The sequence below is a fragment of the Homo sapiens genome, chromosome 3 (genome assembly GCF_000001405.40).
Source record: "Homo sapiens chromosome 3, GRCh38.p14 Primary Assembly".
Taxonomy (NCBI): Eukaryota; Metazoa; Chordata; class Mammalia; order Primates; family Hominidae; genus Homo; species Homo sapiens.
Genome location: NC_000003.12, coordinates 157101640 through 157115764, shown reverse-complemented (window position 1 = coordinate 157115764; position 14125 = coordinate 157101640). Strand labels below are relative to the sequence as shown.

Sequence of the window (14125 nt, the reverse complement as noted above, 5' to 3'; positions counted from 1 at the left end):
TCAGCCCAGCCACTGACTCCCTTGGTGTTCTTTTGCAAATCATCCATCTCCCTGGGTCTCAGTTTATTCATCTGTAAAATGAGGAGCTGGTCCAGGTAAACTGTAAGTTCCTTCCTGGCTGGAACATCTTGATTTGATGCAAGCCATAGTGAGGGTTGTTAAATTATGCCTTGCTCCACGCAGAGAGGTCTAACTTAACTTTGTACACAAAGCGTACTCATTGACTTTCTGACTAAGTGTGGCTCAGGCACTTCCCTGAACTATAGTGTGCTGGGAGTCTCTGCCCAAAGGAAGAGAGCTATTTTGAGGCAGGGTTGATTAGAGATAAGGTGTCTCATTCCTTTACCGGTCATTGGCCCTGACTCACCCGAAGTTCTTGGGTTTAAAGCTTAACACTTGATGGATGAATGTAAGCTAACCCCTCTGCTTGCCCATGAAAATGGCGCCCAGGACACTGCTTCTCAATCCCCAGCTTTATCAGTGTCAATTAAGAAAGTTCTTTGACCTCTTTTTGCTTAGCCAGCTTCTCTGAAATGCAGCCCTTGCTTGTAACCTCTCTCCTTGACATCTCTTGTTTGCTCTTTCTTGTTATTTACGGAGTCTTCTGAGTTATATAAAGGGGAACGTCTCAGTAATCCTCTTAACAGCAAAGAAATCCGACCACCCTGTTAGGTAGGGGGATGGAAATGTCACAAGATGCTTGAAAAAGGCACTGGACAAAGCTGCAACATACTTTTGCATGGAAAAGCCCAGAAAATGAATGGCACAAAAGACCACTATAGTTATGCTGCTTTGAGAGACAACAAAATTAAATTATAAGGCATGGTTATCTTAACATTTTAATTTAACAACTTTTTTTAAACGAATATGTTTTTTTAAAAAGATACCACGTTATGAAATGGTTGACTTTTTTTGTTTGTTTGTTGTTGGGGTTTTTCATTTATTTCCAGTCTTGGTGTGTTATCTTTGATTGGTTTATTTTTTGGCTTGGGAATGTTGAAAGTACCCTTGTGACACTTGACAGGACAGGACATGGCTTGGGCTGTGCCTGATTTTATACAGTTGCTTTGTTCCTAACAAGCTAGATGTAGATGGAAGTTTAAAAAATCTGCCCATATTTCAAAGACATTTGAAAGAAGAATTCACCTCTTGCATAAAAATGTGCATCAAAGTCCTTTCTAATGAGAATAATCACCTCTCTGTTCTTAAAATTAAAGTTTCTGAATTTTAAATTTTCTCAAAGTAAAGGCCATAACCCAAGGTGGCAAACACTGTTTTTGATAGAGCTATGGAGTCACGATGACCGAAGACCTTGGGAAAATTATATTCACCTCTTTGAAATTCTCTTTACCTGTGAAAATAGGATTTTGGGTGTGTCAAATTAACAGCCATGGAGCTGGATGATATAATAACAACAGGCCCGATGGGGCTCAACAAGGCTGAGCTCTAGCTCTGGCTCTGTCCCTAACAGCTGTGTGACCTTGAAAAGTTCACTTAGTTCTCTGGACCTTGGTTTCCTCATCTAGAACATAAGCAGGTTATACAAAGTGACCTTTAAGTCCCTCTCAATTCTGATATTTTAGGATTTAAGCAACTTATTGTTTGGAAGCAACTACAAAAGAGAAAAGAAGTTGGTGGTGTTGATTTCAATTTAAGTGATATAGCAGTTTTGGGCACCTACACCACCTTGGTGCTCTGTTAGACCTTGTCATAGGATATGATATAACATTCAAGCATTCATTTGCTCAGCAAGCACTTCTGAGCACCTCCTGTGTGCCAAGAATGGTACTACATAAGCAGCAGGGATACAGATAGGAATAAAACCCAGCACCTGCAGGAAGCTCTCAGTGACACAGAGAAGATAGGCACATAAAAACCCACTTAAAAAGATAGATTATTTACATATTTAATCCAGTAGACTCAAAGATTCTTAATTACCAAGTAATATCCTAAAGGGACATTTTAATTTCACCTCTAAGCTTTTACCTCATGCCTCAGAGCCACCTCTGCTTCAGTTAAAGCCAAGGCTTCTAATGATTGTTTTAAAAATCTTATCGGAGAAATTTTAAATATGTGAGACAGAGAGCAAGACAGAGAATACATAGAAGGCCTATGGAAACCTTACCAGCTTCCATAGTTATCAATTGGTGAGCAACGTTGTTTAGTCTGTGCCTTCCCTCAACTCCAGGTTATTTTGAAGCAAACCCAAGACATCAATATTTCCTCTGTAGATCCTTAAGGACATATTACTACAAAGATTCTTTTTTAACCAACATGAATATCTTGCTTGCGATGATCTCTTTTTTTGACTTGCGGGCTGGCAACACAGGTGTTTTCTCTTTTAAAAATCTCTTCAGCTGTACACATATAATTTGTTCACTTTTCAGTATATACATTATACCTTAATAAAAGGATGAAGCAAAATTTAACAATACCAGTATCACACCTAAAAACTTAACAGTAATTCTTTAATACTAAGTCTTTGAATAGTGATGAACAATTTTAAACAATGTGGAGATTCAGCAATAAAGACAGGAATAAGGCATGATATAGGTGTCACCTACCCTAGCCTAGAGTTGGGGTGGGGGACACCCCTAAATTCCTAGAAAGTACCACAGTCACTTCCCCTACAGAGGTGTCCACCTTGTAGCCGCCACAGGAGGAGCATCTGCAGGTGCACGCACTGGCATTCACAGGAACACACCTAAAAGCTGAGCTTTCCACAGAGGCTGAACATGGCTTCAGAAGCCACAGCCTCTGGGAAAACTCTTAGCAGACATTTGGAACAGGGAGAGAGTTCTAAGGGTTAGCTAGGGAGGCCAGGGACTCAGAAGATACGGTGAAGGATTTCCTCCTCTGCCATAGAATAGCATTCTCAGAACTGCTCCATGACCAGCCTTTCAGCGCCAGGCCCAGGCTATGTGGGTGACTGGAGGCCCAGGATCACACATGTGGCCATTTTGAGTGATAAGAGGCAAGAAAATCTACCTATTGAGAAAATTTCCTACTGAGTCATTTTCCTTCAAATGTGCTCACATGCCCCATAGTGTTTGTCTGGAATCCTTGGAAAGGCTCCCGTCTTGTTTCCAACCCTCATAAGCTCTGTGTGTGTTTCTGAGACAATCAAGTATTTTTCACCTTCCATGCCACCACCAAATACCATCCCAATCCTTGGATTTTCAGCTACAAGTCCTGCCCACACTGGCAGGCAGCTTCCTACGTTCCTTTCTTCCCTGCTCTCCTCTCTGTTTTAGGCTGCCCTGTGGCCTCACTCTGCAGCTGCCACTCAAGAAAGCTGTTGTTAAGGCCACAAGAGTCCCGACCACCTTGTAGGGGATGACGCAGGCAATGCACTTACCATGTAAGTCTAGTAAGTGTGAGTTTTTGCTATTAGTTCTTTCTTTTTTATTATTTAAAAAAATTCCTGCTGCAAGAAATTTGAGCATCCACAAAGTAGATTATTACAAGCCTTCCTGTGTTCATCACCCAGCTTCCGCAGTTCCCAACTCACTGCCAATCTCATTTTGCCTATGTCTCAACTCTCCCCTCTCCCTGCCTCATCTCCTTCAACAGCTGAATTATTTTGAAGCTAATCTCAGGGAATCTATTTTAAATTTTAAGCTTTTAGTTATTTTTGATTAGGTAATATTGACATGACTCAAATTCAAAAAGTTCAAAAGGCTAAAAAGAGAAAAGTCTCTCCCTCCGTCATCATCCCTGCCCTACCTTGAGGTAGATTTAAACAAGTGACCATAATATTTGGTGGCTCCTCCCATTAAGAAATGGAGTCTATTTCTCTGCCTTGAATTTGGGCTTGGTCATGTGAATTGCTTTCGCCAAAAGGATGTCAGCAAACATCATGCAAATAAGAGTCTGAAAGTGTTTGTGCACTGGGCTTGCTCTGCTCAGGAGTCTCTGGCTCCTGGGAACTCTGACGCTGCCTTGTGAAGGCAGGACCAGCCTCCTGGTCCTCATGTGCAGAGAGGCCCCAGCCACCACAGCCAAACCACAGAGATTGAGCTGGATGAATGGGGGTTGCTTTAAGCTACTAAGTTTGGGCTGGGCTGGGATACAGTCCCCTCCCATCCCTCACACCCAATCCCGGCACCCTCCTTCCTGGAGGAATAAAATATTACCATATTACCAGTCTGGGAATCCTTCCAAAGATAGTTTATGCATAAATAAGTGCATAAATATATATTCTCTTCCCTTCCCCACTCTACTTGCCCCCTTTTAAGAAATAACAAGTGATAATACACAGTTCTGAACCTAGTTGTATTTGTTTGATGTAGCAATGTATTTCGGAGGTCATCCCCCATCACAGTGTGAGGCGCTTCGTTTGAAGTATGCCACTGTCTGCACAGACTGTGAATTATTTAATCAGACTTTTATTGATGAGATTTAGATTGATCCAAGTCTTCTGCTATTTCAAGCAATGGTACAATGAACAAAGTGGCACCCTGTCATTCTGCACAGATGTGAGTATTTCTGAAGGCTAGATTCGTGGCTGTGGCTCACAGGTCCGAGTACAGTGGGGCTGCACGTGGAATGTAGCCTGCAGGGAAGGAAATGCTTTCTGTTCCTCTGGCTTTCCATTTCTGTGGACCCCAGCTGTCCACCTGCCTATTCCCACAGTTCCCTACTAGTTTCTTGCTGACAGGGTGCCAGTCCCAGGCTTGCCCCCTTGGGGGTCTGCAGCTCCCTTGGTTCTCTGTCACCCCAGGATGAGGCCTGGCTCCTTGGGTGCCTGCCAGCTCTCTGGCTTGCAGTCTCCATGGTTTGGAGGAGTGGCCTGACCCCTGCCTCCCTTCTAAGCCCTAGAATGTGAAACACCAATGTGAGAAGCTTCTGCGCCCTGCACCACTGTGATTCTGGAGACAGTTCAAATGAGTTATCATTTACTGACAGACACTAACAAGTCCAATAAAGGCAGCAGTCCCGGTGCAGAGAAACAAGTGGTCGGAGCTGACCCTAACAGGACAAAGAGGCCCCTATGGAATGAATTCTAATTAAATACTCACCCACTCCCACCCCCCCTGAGCCATTAACCCCAAGGAGTACTTAAGCCAGCCGACAAATTTAAACAAACCAGAGGTGCCATAGAAATGAAATGTACTGGCTGCGCTCAGTGGCTCATGCCTGTAATCCCAGCACTTTGGGAGGCTGAGGCCGGTGGATCCCCTGAGGTCAGGAGTTCAAGACCAGCCTGGCCAACATGGTGAAACCGTGTATGTACTAAAAATACAAAAAAGTTAGCTGGGCGTGGTGGCAGGAGCCTGCAATCCCAGCTACTTTGGGAGGCTGAGGCAGAAGAATCGCTTGAATCCAGGAAGTGGAGGTTGAAGTGAGCCGAGATCGCACCATTGCACTCCAGCCTGGGCAACAAGAGCAAAGCTCTGTCTCAAAAAAAAAAAAAAAAAAAAAAAAAAAAAAAAGAAAGAAAAGAAAAGAAGAAAGAAAGAAAAGAAATGAAGTGTGCTTTCTGATTATGGAATATGAGTTTACACAGAGCAGCTGGTACCTCTGCCCAGGTACCCAATATGTCTACCTCTCTGGTTCCCAGTGAGCTCACTCGCTTCCTATTCAGTCACCCTAAGACTTATTTCTTAAGACTGAGCTCAGCTGGATCTTCATGTTCCCTGGGAGGAAAAAATTCCCAGAGGACACTAAATCCCCATCATGACCTGTTGTCCCTTTGCTAGTGTCCCTATGAAGACCTGGGCTGCAGAGGGTTGCTGTTTCTCCCCAGCATCCTCCTCCCTCTTTCCTGCTTGGCGGAGCATGGCATCTGCTCTGTTCTTTGTCAACACTTATGTAAACCCCACCCTTCCTCCCTGATTCTGGGCCTCATGGCTTCGCTTGCAGACCCCTGTGGTCATTTTGATTTGGCAGGTGACCACTGTGTTTAGTCCCAGAGGTGCCTGGCCCTCCTCCATCATACCGGATGAGGCCTGGGTGTGGGGAGTATCCTGGGCTTGCAGCTCCAGGAGCTGGGGAGACGATTCTGTCCACACCTGATAAGACTGACGCCAGAGGTGAGGTCAGAACCCAGCAAGGAGCCGGCTAGGCCTGAGGACAGATAACCTGAGGATGCTCTGAGTCCCCAGTGACTCTCAGAAAGGAAAATACCTGAATGAGCCAAAAAGCAAACTCTGGAGAAGGGGGGAAAAGAACAGTGCATGGATACTAGGCCTGTGAAGGGTACCTGTGATGTAGTGCAGGGGGGCCTAGACAGAGGGTTCCCTGGGGCCTCCATCTGCCCACACTCACTGCCCTTATCTCCAAAGTTGCAGACACCTAGGAAAATTTTATCTCTCGCCTCTTGTGTCTCAGATGCTTGAGTTGTTGGTGACTTGTTCATTGCCATGGGTTTTATTTACTCCCTGTCTGGGTCCCTAACTGCTGGAGGGGGTGGGCAAGGTTTTTCTCACAACCATTATCAATCCTACTTAAAAATAGATCTTTAATAAATGCATATTAGTTTATGGCTTAATAATTGTGACTTCACTTCTAGTGAAATCTAGTTTGGACAATAATAATAGCTACTATTGATGAGCAATTAGTGCGTGCCAGACATCGTGCATATGTTACCCAATTGAACCTCTCTGCAGGGTAGTTATTGCCTCTATTAAACGTCTCTGCAGGGTGGGTATTGCCTTCATTTAGTGGGGAGAAAATGAAGTCTCAGAGAAGCTAAGAGCTGTGCCCAAGTTCACACAACTTCCAAGAGGTTGAGCTGAGATTTAAACCCTGGCCTGCAAGACTCCAGCATTCAGGGTCCTTTCCTTTAGCACCCAAATGCTGCTTCCAGGTCAAGAAGGAAAAACATATGGGTCAAAAGCAAAGCACTGCTGGGAGACCAAAACTTGCATTCCTTCTGCTCATCTGTGCTGGCTGTGGGCCTGTGATTGACCCCTGTGCCAGGGCTGTTTGGAGGGCAGCTATCAACAGACCACTGTGCATAAGAACAGAGCAAAGGCCATGGGCTCTTGGTTTTGCACACACCAGCTGCTCCTGGGAGGTTCACCGGAGGAAGAGTAAATGGGCACAAACCACTTTCCTACTCCCCAACATGAATTGTGGCTTGTTGTGTGTTAGTGAAAAGGAGGCTCATGCAAATGCATGAGGTTGAGTTTTTCTAAGGCTACATGAATGGCACTACAATGATAATAAAAATAATAACAAACTGTCAGATTATTTCCCTTTATTCTCATCCCAAGTCTCTTACAAACTGTGTGACTATAGGCAAGCTCGGTAAGTTGCTTAACCTCCCTGAACCTCATCTTTTCGCTTTTAAAAGGGAAAATAACCGTGCTATAAAGTCCAGTGACTAGCACAATGTTTGGCACATAGAACGGCCTCAATAAATGTTTGATGCTCAAATGAATGAAATATAGAGATTGTGCTACTTATTTTGCACCTCCTGTAGCACCTAACATGTTTTGAGCTGGTGTGTGATTAATGAATATTTGTGATTTGGGATTGTCTTTGTAATTAAGAATAAGGACCTGCCCCATAAAACAAAACAAAACAAAACAAACACTAGCCCTCTTAAACACAGAGAAACTCCTGTCAAGAGAGCCTGTGATTTTACTGCACGGACCCATGAGGAGTTGTGGTATTGGAATTAATAACAAAGATCTGTTAATTCTCTGCCTTTGCCCAGGCTGCCTTCCAAGGCGTGATGTGGATTCCTGCTGTTTCTGCTCCAGATAAATCAATGATAATCTTCAACCCAGCGAGGGGCAAGTCATGGGGGTTGCTGTTGCAACTCCTGTGTCAACAGCACTGCTAAAAATCAGATTTCTTGGAACCCATTCATCAGAAGCTTTGAATATGCCACATTGCTTGCTGGGCCTAAAATATTGCATGCATGTGGTGACCTTGACTTGGTTGTTTCCATGAATCCTCTTTTCCCTGAAGCCACGGGCAACATTTCTAAGTCACATGGCAGGGATAGGGCTTCCGTCCCTAACAGTATTTTCACTAATGTTTATGGCCCAGGCCCGGCCTGTTCACTATGCACCACTCACTTTCTGGCACTGATTCTGCCCCAATAGGAGCAGAGAAGGCTGGGAAGGAATGGGGAGGGTGGGGTGTCTGTGCCCTCTGAGGACTGGTACCTTTCTTTTGCCTTCCTGATACCTTCTCTGGGGCAACTTTTGGGTAGGAGAGCTTTTTCTCCGACTTTCTATTTACTCATCCGTTTGTTTATTCCTTTATTCACTGCTTATTTAACATGCTCAAAGGGAGCCCACGCTGAATGGGAAGCACTGTGGTGATTCTGGGGGAGCACAGAGAGGTGAGATGTTGAAGGGCTGAATGTAGGCAGAGAAAAAAAGACATCAATCTAACAGCTGCTAACACCCCCAAATGCTAAGTGATTATCTCCAGATGGCAGTTATGAGTGGTTTTTATTTTATTCTCTTTATTTATTTATGTTTCCAATTTTTTTCTTCAGTGACACACATTAGTATTTGTATAGGAAAAGTTATTCAAATAGTGACCACGTGGTCAACAGGTGTTCAGTGCACGGGGAGGTACAGGTGAAGACACTGGAAGGGTGGAGAAGAGGAGAAGGCTATTTCCAGTCCAGGTGGAGCTGAAGAGGATTCTGGAGAAACTTTGTTGAATTGGGCCTTAAAGTTGGAGGGAGGCCTTGCTGTGGATGTCTGTGGGGCTGTCTGCCTACCACTCTTCTCTCATATGAAAGTATCCTCTCCCCACAGCCCTCTCCCCACAGCCCATAGGAACTGCATGCTATGAGCTTGCCCTCGCCCTGCTTTGCCTGACAGTCCAGTGGTGGGCGCCTGACCAAGGCCAGCCACTCATTAGTCTTACCTGGGATTTTCAGATTTAAAGCTGGCAATATCTTTAGTGAAAGCCTAAAGAGGTTAAATTCAGGAGGTTCCTGTATGTGGGTGTGGCAGGGAGGGATTTGGGCAGCCGTGTTTCCTGCAATGTGGACGAAATCAGTATGCCATGAGAGAGAATGAAATAGGCACCTGGAGAGAAGTGGAGAGAAGAGGTGAGAGTGGGAGTGGGAGAGTTGTCGTGAACTCTGAGCCCCTGACTCCAGATATTCCCAAATATCAGCTGTGCCCTCCTTTTCCCTAGCTCATATGAGTTGGGTTCTGAACTTGCAACCAATGTATCCTGTCTAAGATAGATGTTGCTAAGTGGAGAGAGGTGGCAATGGACAGTGGTAGAAAAGCAAAGGACATGTAGGGAGCAGCTGGCTGTTGCATTTGCCTGGAAAGTGGGTGGTAAGTTTGTGTGTCTGTTGAGAGGGGCTGAGTTAGTGTGTGTGGTCCCCTGTAAGGGTGGCAGATTTCATATTTCAAGGTTTGGGTTTCTAGCCCCCTGCAGCATCTCATGCTTCTCTCAGATCTCAAAAGGCCACCGTTCTATGACCAGCTACCAGGACCGATCTGCCTCTTCCAACGTGCACCCCAAAGAAACTGGGGATGTAGTCACAGTGAGATCCTAAGCCAGGGAGTCCCTAAGTGAGGTCCAGCCTTAATGTGGACATGCTTTGCTTCTCCCAGGGGCCACTTAAAGTTGGAAATGAAGGAATTGTACTCGCTTCTCCTCCTTTTCTGCAGCTTAGACTGAATTTCAGTCCCTCTCCATGATCTGACCATCTTGTGAGCTGTCACTGCAGCCAAACTGGCTCATTTATGTTCTCTCCTCTCTCCTTTGGGACCAACCCTGGTGGGCCTACTAAGGGAAGGGTTAAGAAAAAGAGGTAAGGAAGACCCTGGTTAACACACTAATTAGCTAACCCTTCCCAGGAACAAGAGAAAATCAGCCACACAGTATCACATAGCTCTTTAAGAAAGTCCCTTGTCTGAAAGTTGGAGGGTTCCATCTTGGGGTACAACAGGAAAGCTAGACACAGAATTCAGAGTTGAGGCCGTACTTTCAGCCCTCTTATTCTACAGATGCCCTGAATAAACCAAGGATATGTCAAGAACCCAGGCCCTGGACAGTTTTAGCCATGTCACACTGACAACTGGTATACTAAAGCAATTTCAATTCCTCATCATCTGTCTCCATCTTTAACATCTTGTCTAAAACCATGCCCAGGAAGAATGTTCAGAGAATACAGGCTGCCACACAGATCAGGCGTTTCTCTCCAGGCTCCAACACACATGCTCAGCCTGGATCAATAAGCCTGACTGTGTCTCTCTGGCCGGGATGGGAAACTGTCTGGACACACAGGTGGAGGCAGCAAGACCCTATGGGCTGTTTCTGTTTTATGCTTACCCGGTTACCTTAGCAACAGCATCTGCACCGAGACACAAGAGGAAGCAAAGCACCACCTACCAATGCCCCCACTGAGAGGCATGGGGAGTAAAGTAAAAACCGGCCTGGAATCAGGAGGCTTCGGTTCCTGGCCTCTCTGCTGGCCCCTGGCTGGCTGCCCCTAACAAATCTCCTCACCTCCTGGGCCTGTTCTGGGCAGAACTGGGGCTGAGAGCTCTCTAGCTGGTTCAAGGTTTCTGTTGGGGAGCATAGTCTCTGGGTGAGAAGACCCTACTGTTTCTGCTCTGAGTAGCTTCAAGCACAGGAACTGTGTCAGCAAACAACTGTTTTTTAGCTAGTCTTCCACAACTTAACTTTTCAGTCTCCACCTGTGATGCAGAAAATGTTTGCTGAGCAAGCAGATGGTCGAGCTGCAAGAAGTCCTCACCAGGATGGACATTTCTTCAGCTGAGGTAGGAGGTAAACCTGGCTTTGGTCCTTGAAGGCTCATGGAGAAGAAAAGAGATTGAGGTAGTAAAAAATAATTATGAGCACTTCAACTCTACAATTACATGTAGTAATAATAATGACAATAAAAGTAGGACCTCCAGTATGATCTCTTCATGTCTGTTCTTGCCACATTCTCATAACCAGCTGTGAGGGAGGCAGAACAGAAATTATGACCTTCTTGTTGCAGTGGAGGACACCGAGGCACAGGGAGGCTGAAGACCCTGGGGCTGCCTGGGTGATGGCTGAGCTGGATCTGGACTGTGTGTCCTTTTCCTCCTGATCCCAGGACGTTTTTATTGGACATGACTCATGACAGCTATTATGAAGCAGAAACATCTTCCAACTTTGTTTGTGCAACCACGTTTAAACTTAATGCATGTCAGAGCACCTCTCTGAAGAAGGAAGAAAACTAAGATGGATTCATTCAACAAATAATGTGCTGAGCACGTACTTTGTGCCAAGCACCTGGGATTCAAAAATGAGCAATATGTGATCTCTACTCCCCAGCAGTTCAATTGATTAGGCAGGTTTTTTTTGCTTATTTAAATTTCTCATTTGTTATTGCATAGAAACACCAACCAAAAAGTGATACTCCCCATCCTGCAACTATTTTTGTATCCCCACGGAATTCCACTGGGCTGCATCCACTGATAGGAGAAGACACACTTCTAAAATTAGGAGAGGGTATCCAGGAACAAGGAGCAAAGATGAAAAACCGTAAGCAAATGCTAAAACCACCCCTGGCTCTGGGAGGGGCTTGGGCTGCGGGGAGATGAGAGAGGCCCCTTGACTTGGTGCAAAAGTGCTTCCAGGAAAGAAGCTGGGAGCCGCTTCCTGGACAAAGGCTGAGGGACTGACAGGGAGTCAGAGAGGCAGCCCCAAGAACCACTACTACATGCCACAATCAGATGCTGGAAGGAAACCCAAAGTCCATTCTTTGAACACACAAAGTCATTGAGGTCCTGTTTCCACAGATGAGAGTTTGGGGCCACACCCCACCCATAGCAAATCCTTTTCTGAATTGATGTGGTAGAGTGTTAAGGGCAGAGGCTTAAAGCTCCAAGCTAGCTTGACAATGGGCATTCCTGTCACTAAATCTCAAAAAAACACTTTTTATCATTTTACCTCTTTCCCTAGACTGGGCCCAACCATGCCTTGTCCTATGAACAGAAAAAGTATTCAAGCTGCTCTCTTAAAGCAGCTTTTATCTCCTCAGTGAAGTGGCAATTTTGGGACAAATTTCCACATGAAGAATCAAAATGTTCCAAGCCTAAATAGGGTTCTAGCAACACACTCTTAACTCACAGAAAAGAGCCTCTAACTTAGATTTCTGCTTTCCTTTGCAGAATCTGTAGCCTGAACACACTGGTTTTAACTCCACAGGCCTGAAGACACAAGCAGAAGAGACTCAGAAAAGCCAAGGACTGAGTGAATTCACAATGCAAGCAGAAACATCAGCAGGCAAATTAGGGCCCACATGGTTTCGGTTTTAATGTTCTTTGTTTTGTTTTGCATTTTTCTTTACAGATGGCGTACTGCTCTGTTGCCCAGGTTAGAGTGCAGTGGCTTGATCATAGCTCACTGCAGCCTTGAGCTCCTAGGCTCAAGCAGTCCTCTTGCCTCAGCCTCCTGAATAGCTGGGACTACAGGTATGTGCCACTGAACCTGGCTTGTTGTTTTGCTTTCTAAGACCACATTTACATTAGCCCATCTATTGTTCAGAGTCTTGCTATGTTGCCCAAGCTGGTCTCAAACTTCTGGGATGAAGGGATCCTTCCACTTCACCCTCCCAAGTAGCTGGGAGTACAGGTGTGTGCCACTGTGTCCAGCTTAGCCCATCTTTTTTTTGTTGTTGTTGTTTTTAAATTTTACTTTAAGTTCTGGGATACATGTGCAGAACGTGCAGATTCGTTACATAGGTATACATGTGCCATGGTGGTTTGCTGCACCCATTAACCCGTCATCTAGATTGTAAGTCCCACACGTATTAGGTACTGGTCCTAATGCCCTCCCTCCCCTTGTCCCCCACCCCCTGACAGGCCCCAGTGTGTGATGTTCCCTGCCCTGTGTCCATGTGTTCTCATGGTTCAGCTCCCACTTATGAGTGAAAACATGCGATGTTTGGTTTTCTGTTCCTGTGTTAGTTTGTTGAGAATGATGGTTTCCAGCTTCATCCATGTCCCTGCAAAGAACATGAACTCATTCTTTTTTATGGCTGTATAGTATTCCATGGTGTATATGGGCCACATTTTCTTTATACACTCTATCATTGATGGACATTTGGGTTGGCTCCCATTTTTAAAACAGCAAAGAAATGCTATAAGAGCCAGGCCATTGGGGGTACAAGTGAAGTTGAATTATCTTCATGTTATAAACATAAAAAATTAGACCCAGAACTTGAAAGAGGTCTTAGAAATAATTTACTGACTTTATGTTTCAATGAACAGTCTGAGGCCTCAGTCATACTGATAGTAAGTATGACTAGCTACCACTTATTGATCTCCCACTCAGAATCCAGCACTGGGTAAGGATCATGTAATGGTTTGCCAGGGCTGCTGTAACAAAGCACTGCAAACTGTGTGGCTTAAACAACAGAAATGTATTGTCTCACATATTCAAGATCAAGGTGTCGGCAGGGTTGGCTCCTTCTGAGGGCTGGCAGGGAAGGATCTGTTCCATGCCCCTCCCTCCCAGCTTCTAGCAGTTTGCTAACAACCTTTGGTATTGTTGAGCTTGTAGAAGTGTCACCCTGAGCTCCGCCTTCATCTTCACATGGTGCTCTCCCTGTGTGCATGCCTGCCTCTGCGCCCAAATTTCTCCTTGTTATAAGGACACCAGTCACTTGGGATTAGGGTCCACCCTAATGACTTCATCTTAACTAATTATATTTCAAATGACTCTATTTCCATATAAGGTTCTATTCTGAGGTACTAAGGTTAAGACCTCAACATATGAATTCTGGAGGACAAAATTCAACCCAGAAGTCTACCTTGTATTGGGTCCTCACGGCAAGGCTGCAAAACCCGGGGGGTTGGTGGCCCAGTCCCACCTCCCATGAGCTAATGAATGTGGGTAAGTTGTTTAACCTCCTTGTGCCTCAGTTTCTTCATCTGTAAGATGGGGATAACACAGGCCCACAATTTTGAAACGTTAAAAGCTCCAAAATATGAAAAAATGGATTTATAATTCATTTGGCAGCAAAACCTGACCTGAAACAAGCACATTGACTAAAAGTATCCTTGTATCTTGAGTTGACGCAAGGATACTTACAGTCTTTACTTATGCAACATATATATGTGTCACTACAGAAACTAGAACCATTAGTATGTTTCATAACAGGATGCTGTTGCAGATGCCATGAGGTGTT

General features: G+C 45.0%; 1 long non-coding RNA gene across 1 annotated transcript in view, besides 1 other annotated feature; it reads left to right on the top strand.

Moving 5' to 3' along the window:
* Nucleotides 1–14125, top strand: part of LINC00880 (long intergenic non-protein coding RNA 880) — a 41336-nt gene that overhangs the window by 7238 nt on the left and 19973 nt on the right. Inside the window, exons 2-3 of the long non-coding RNA NR_034007.1 lie at nt 12286–12407; nt 13673–13830. This is a non-coding gene — a long non-coding RNA (long intergenic non-protein coding RNA 880). The remainder of the gene's footprint in view (nt 1–12285; nt 12408–13672; nt 13831–14125) is intronic.
* Nucleotides 9959–10008: an enhancer, noted in NCBI's record as "active region_20737". NCBI's record gives its function as "activates an Ori minimal core promoter by ATAC-STARR-seq in GM12878 lymphoblastoid cells {active_cell/tissue: GM12878}" and the evidence as "EXISTENCE:reporter gene assay evidence [ECO:0000049][PMID:35858748]".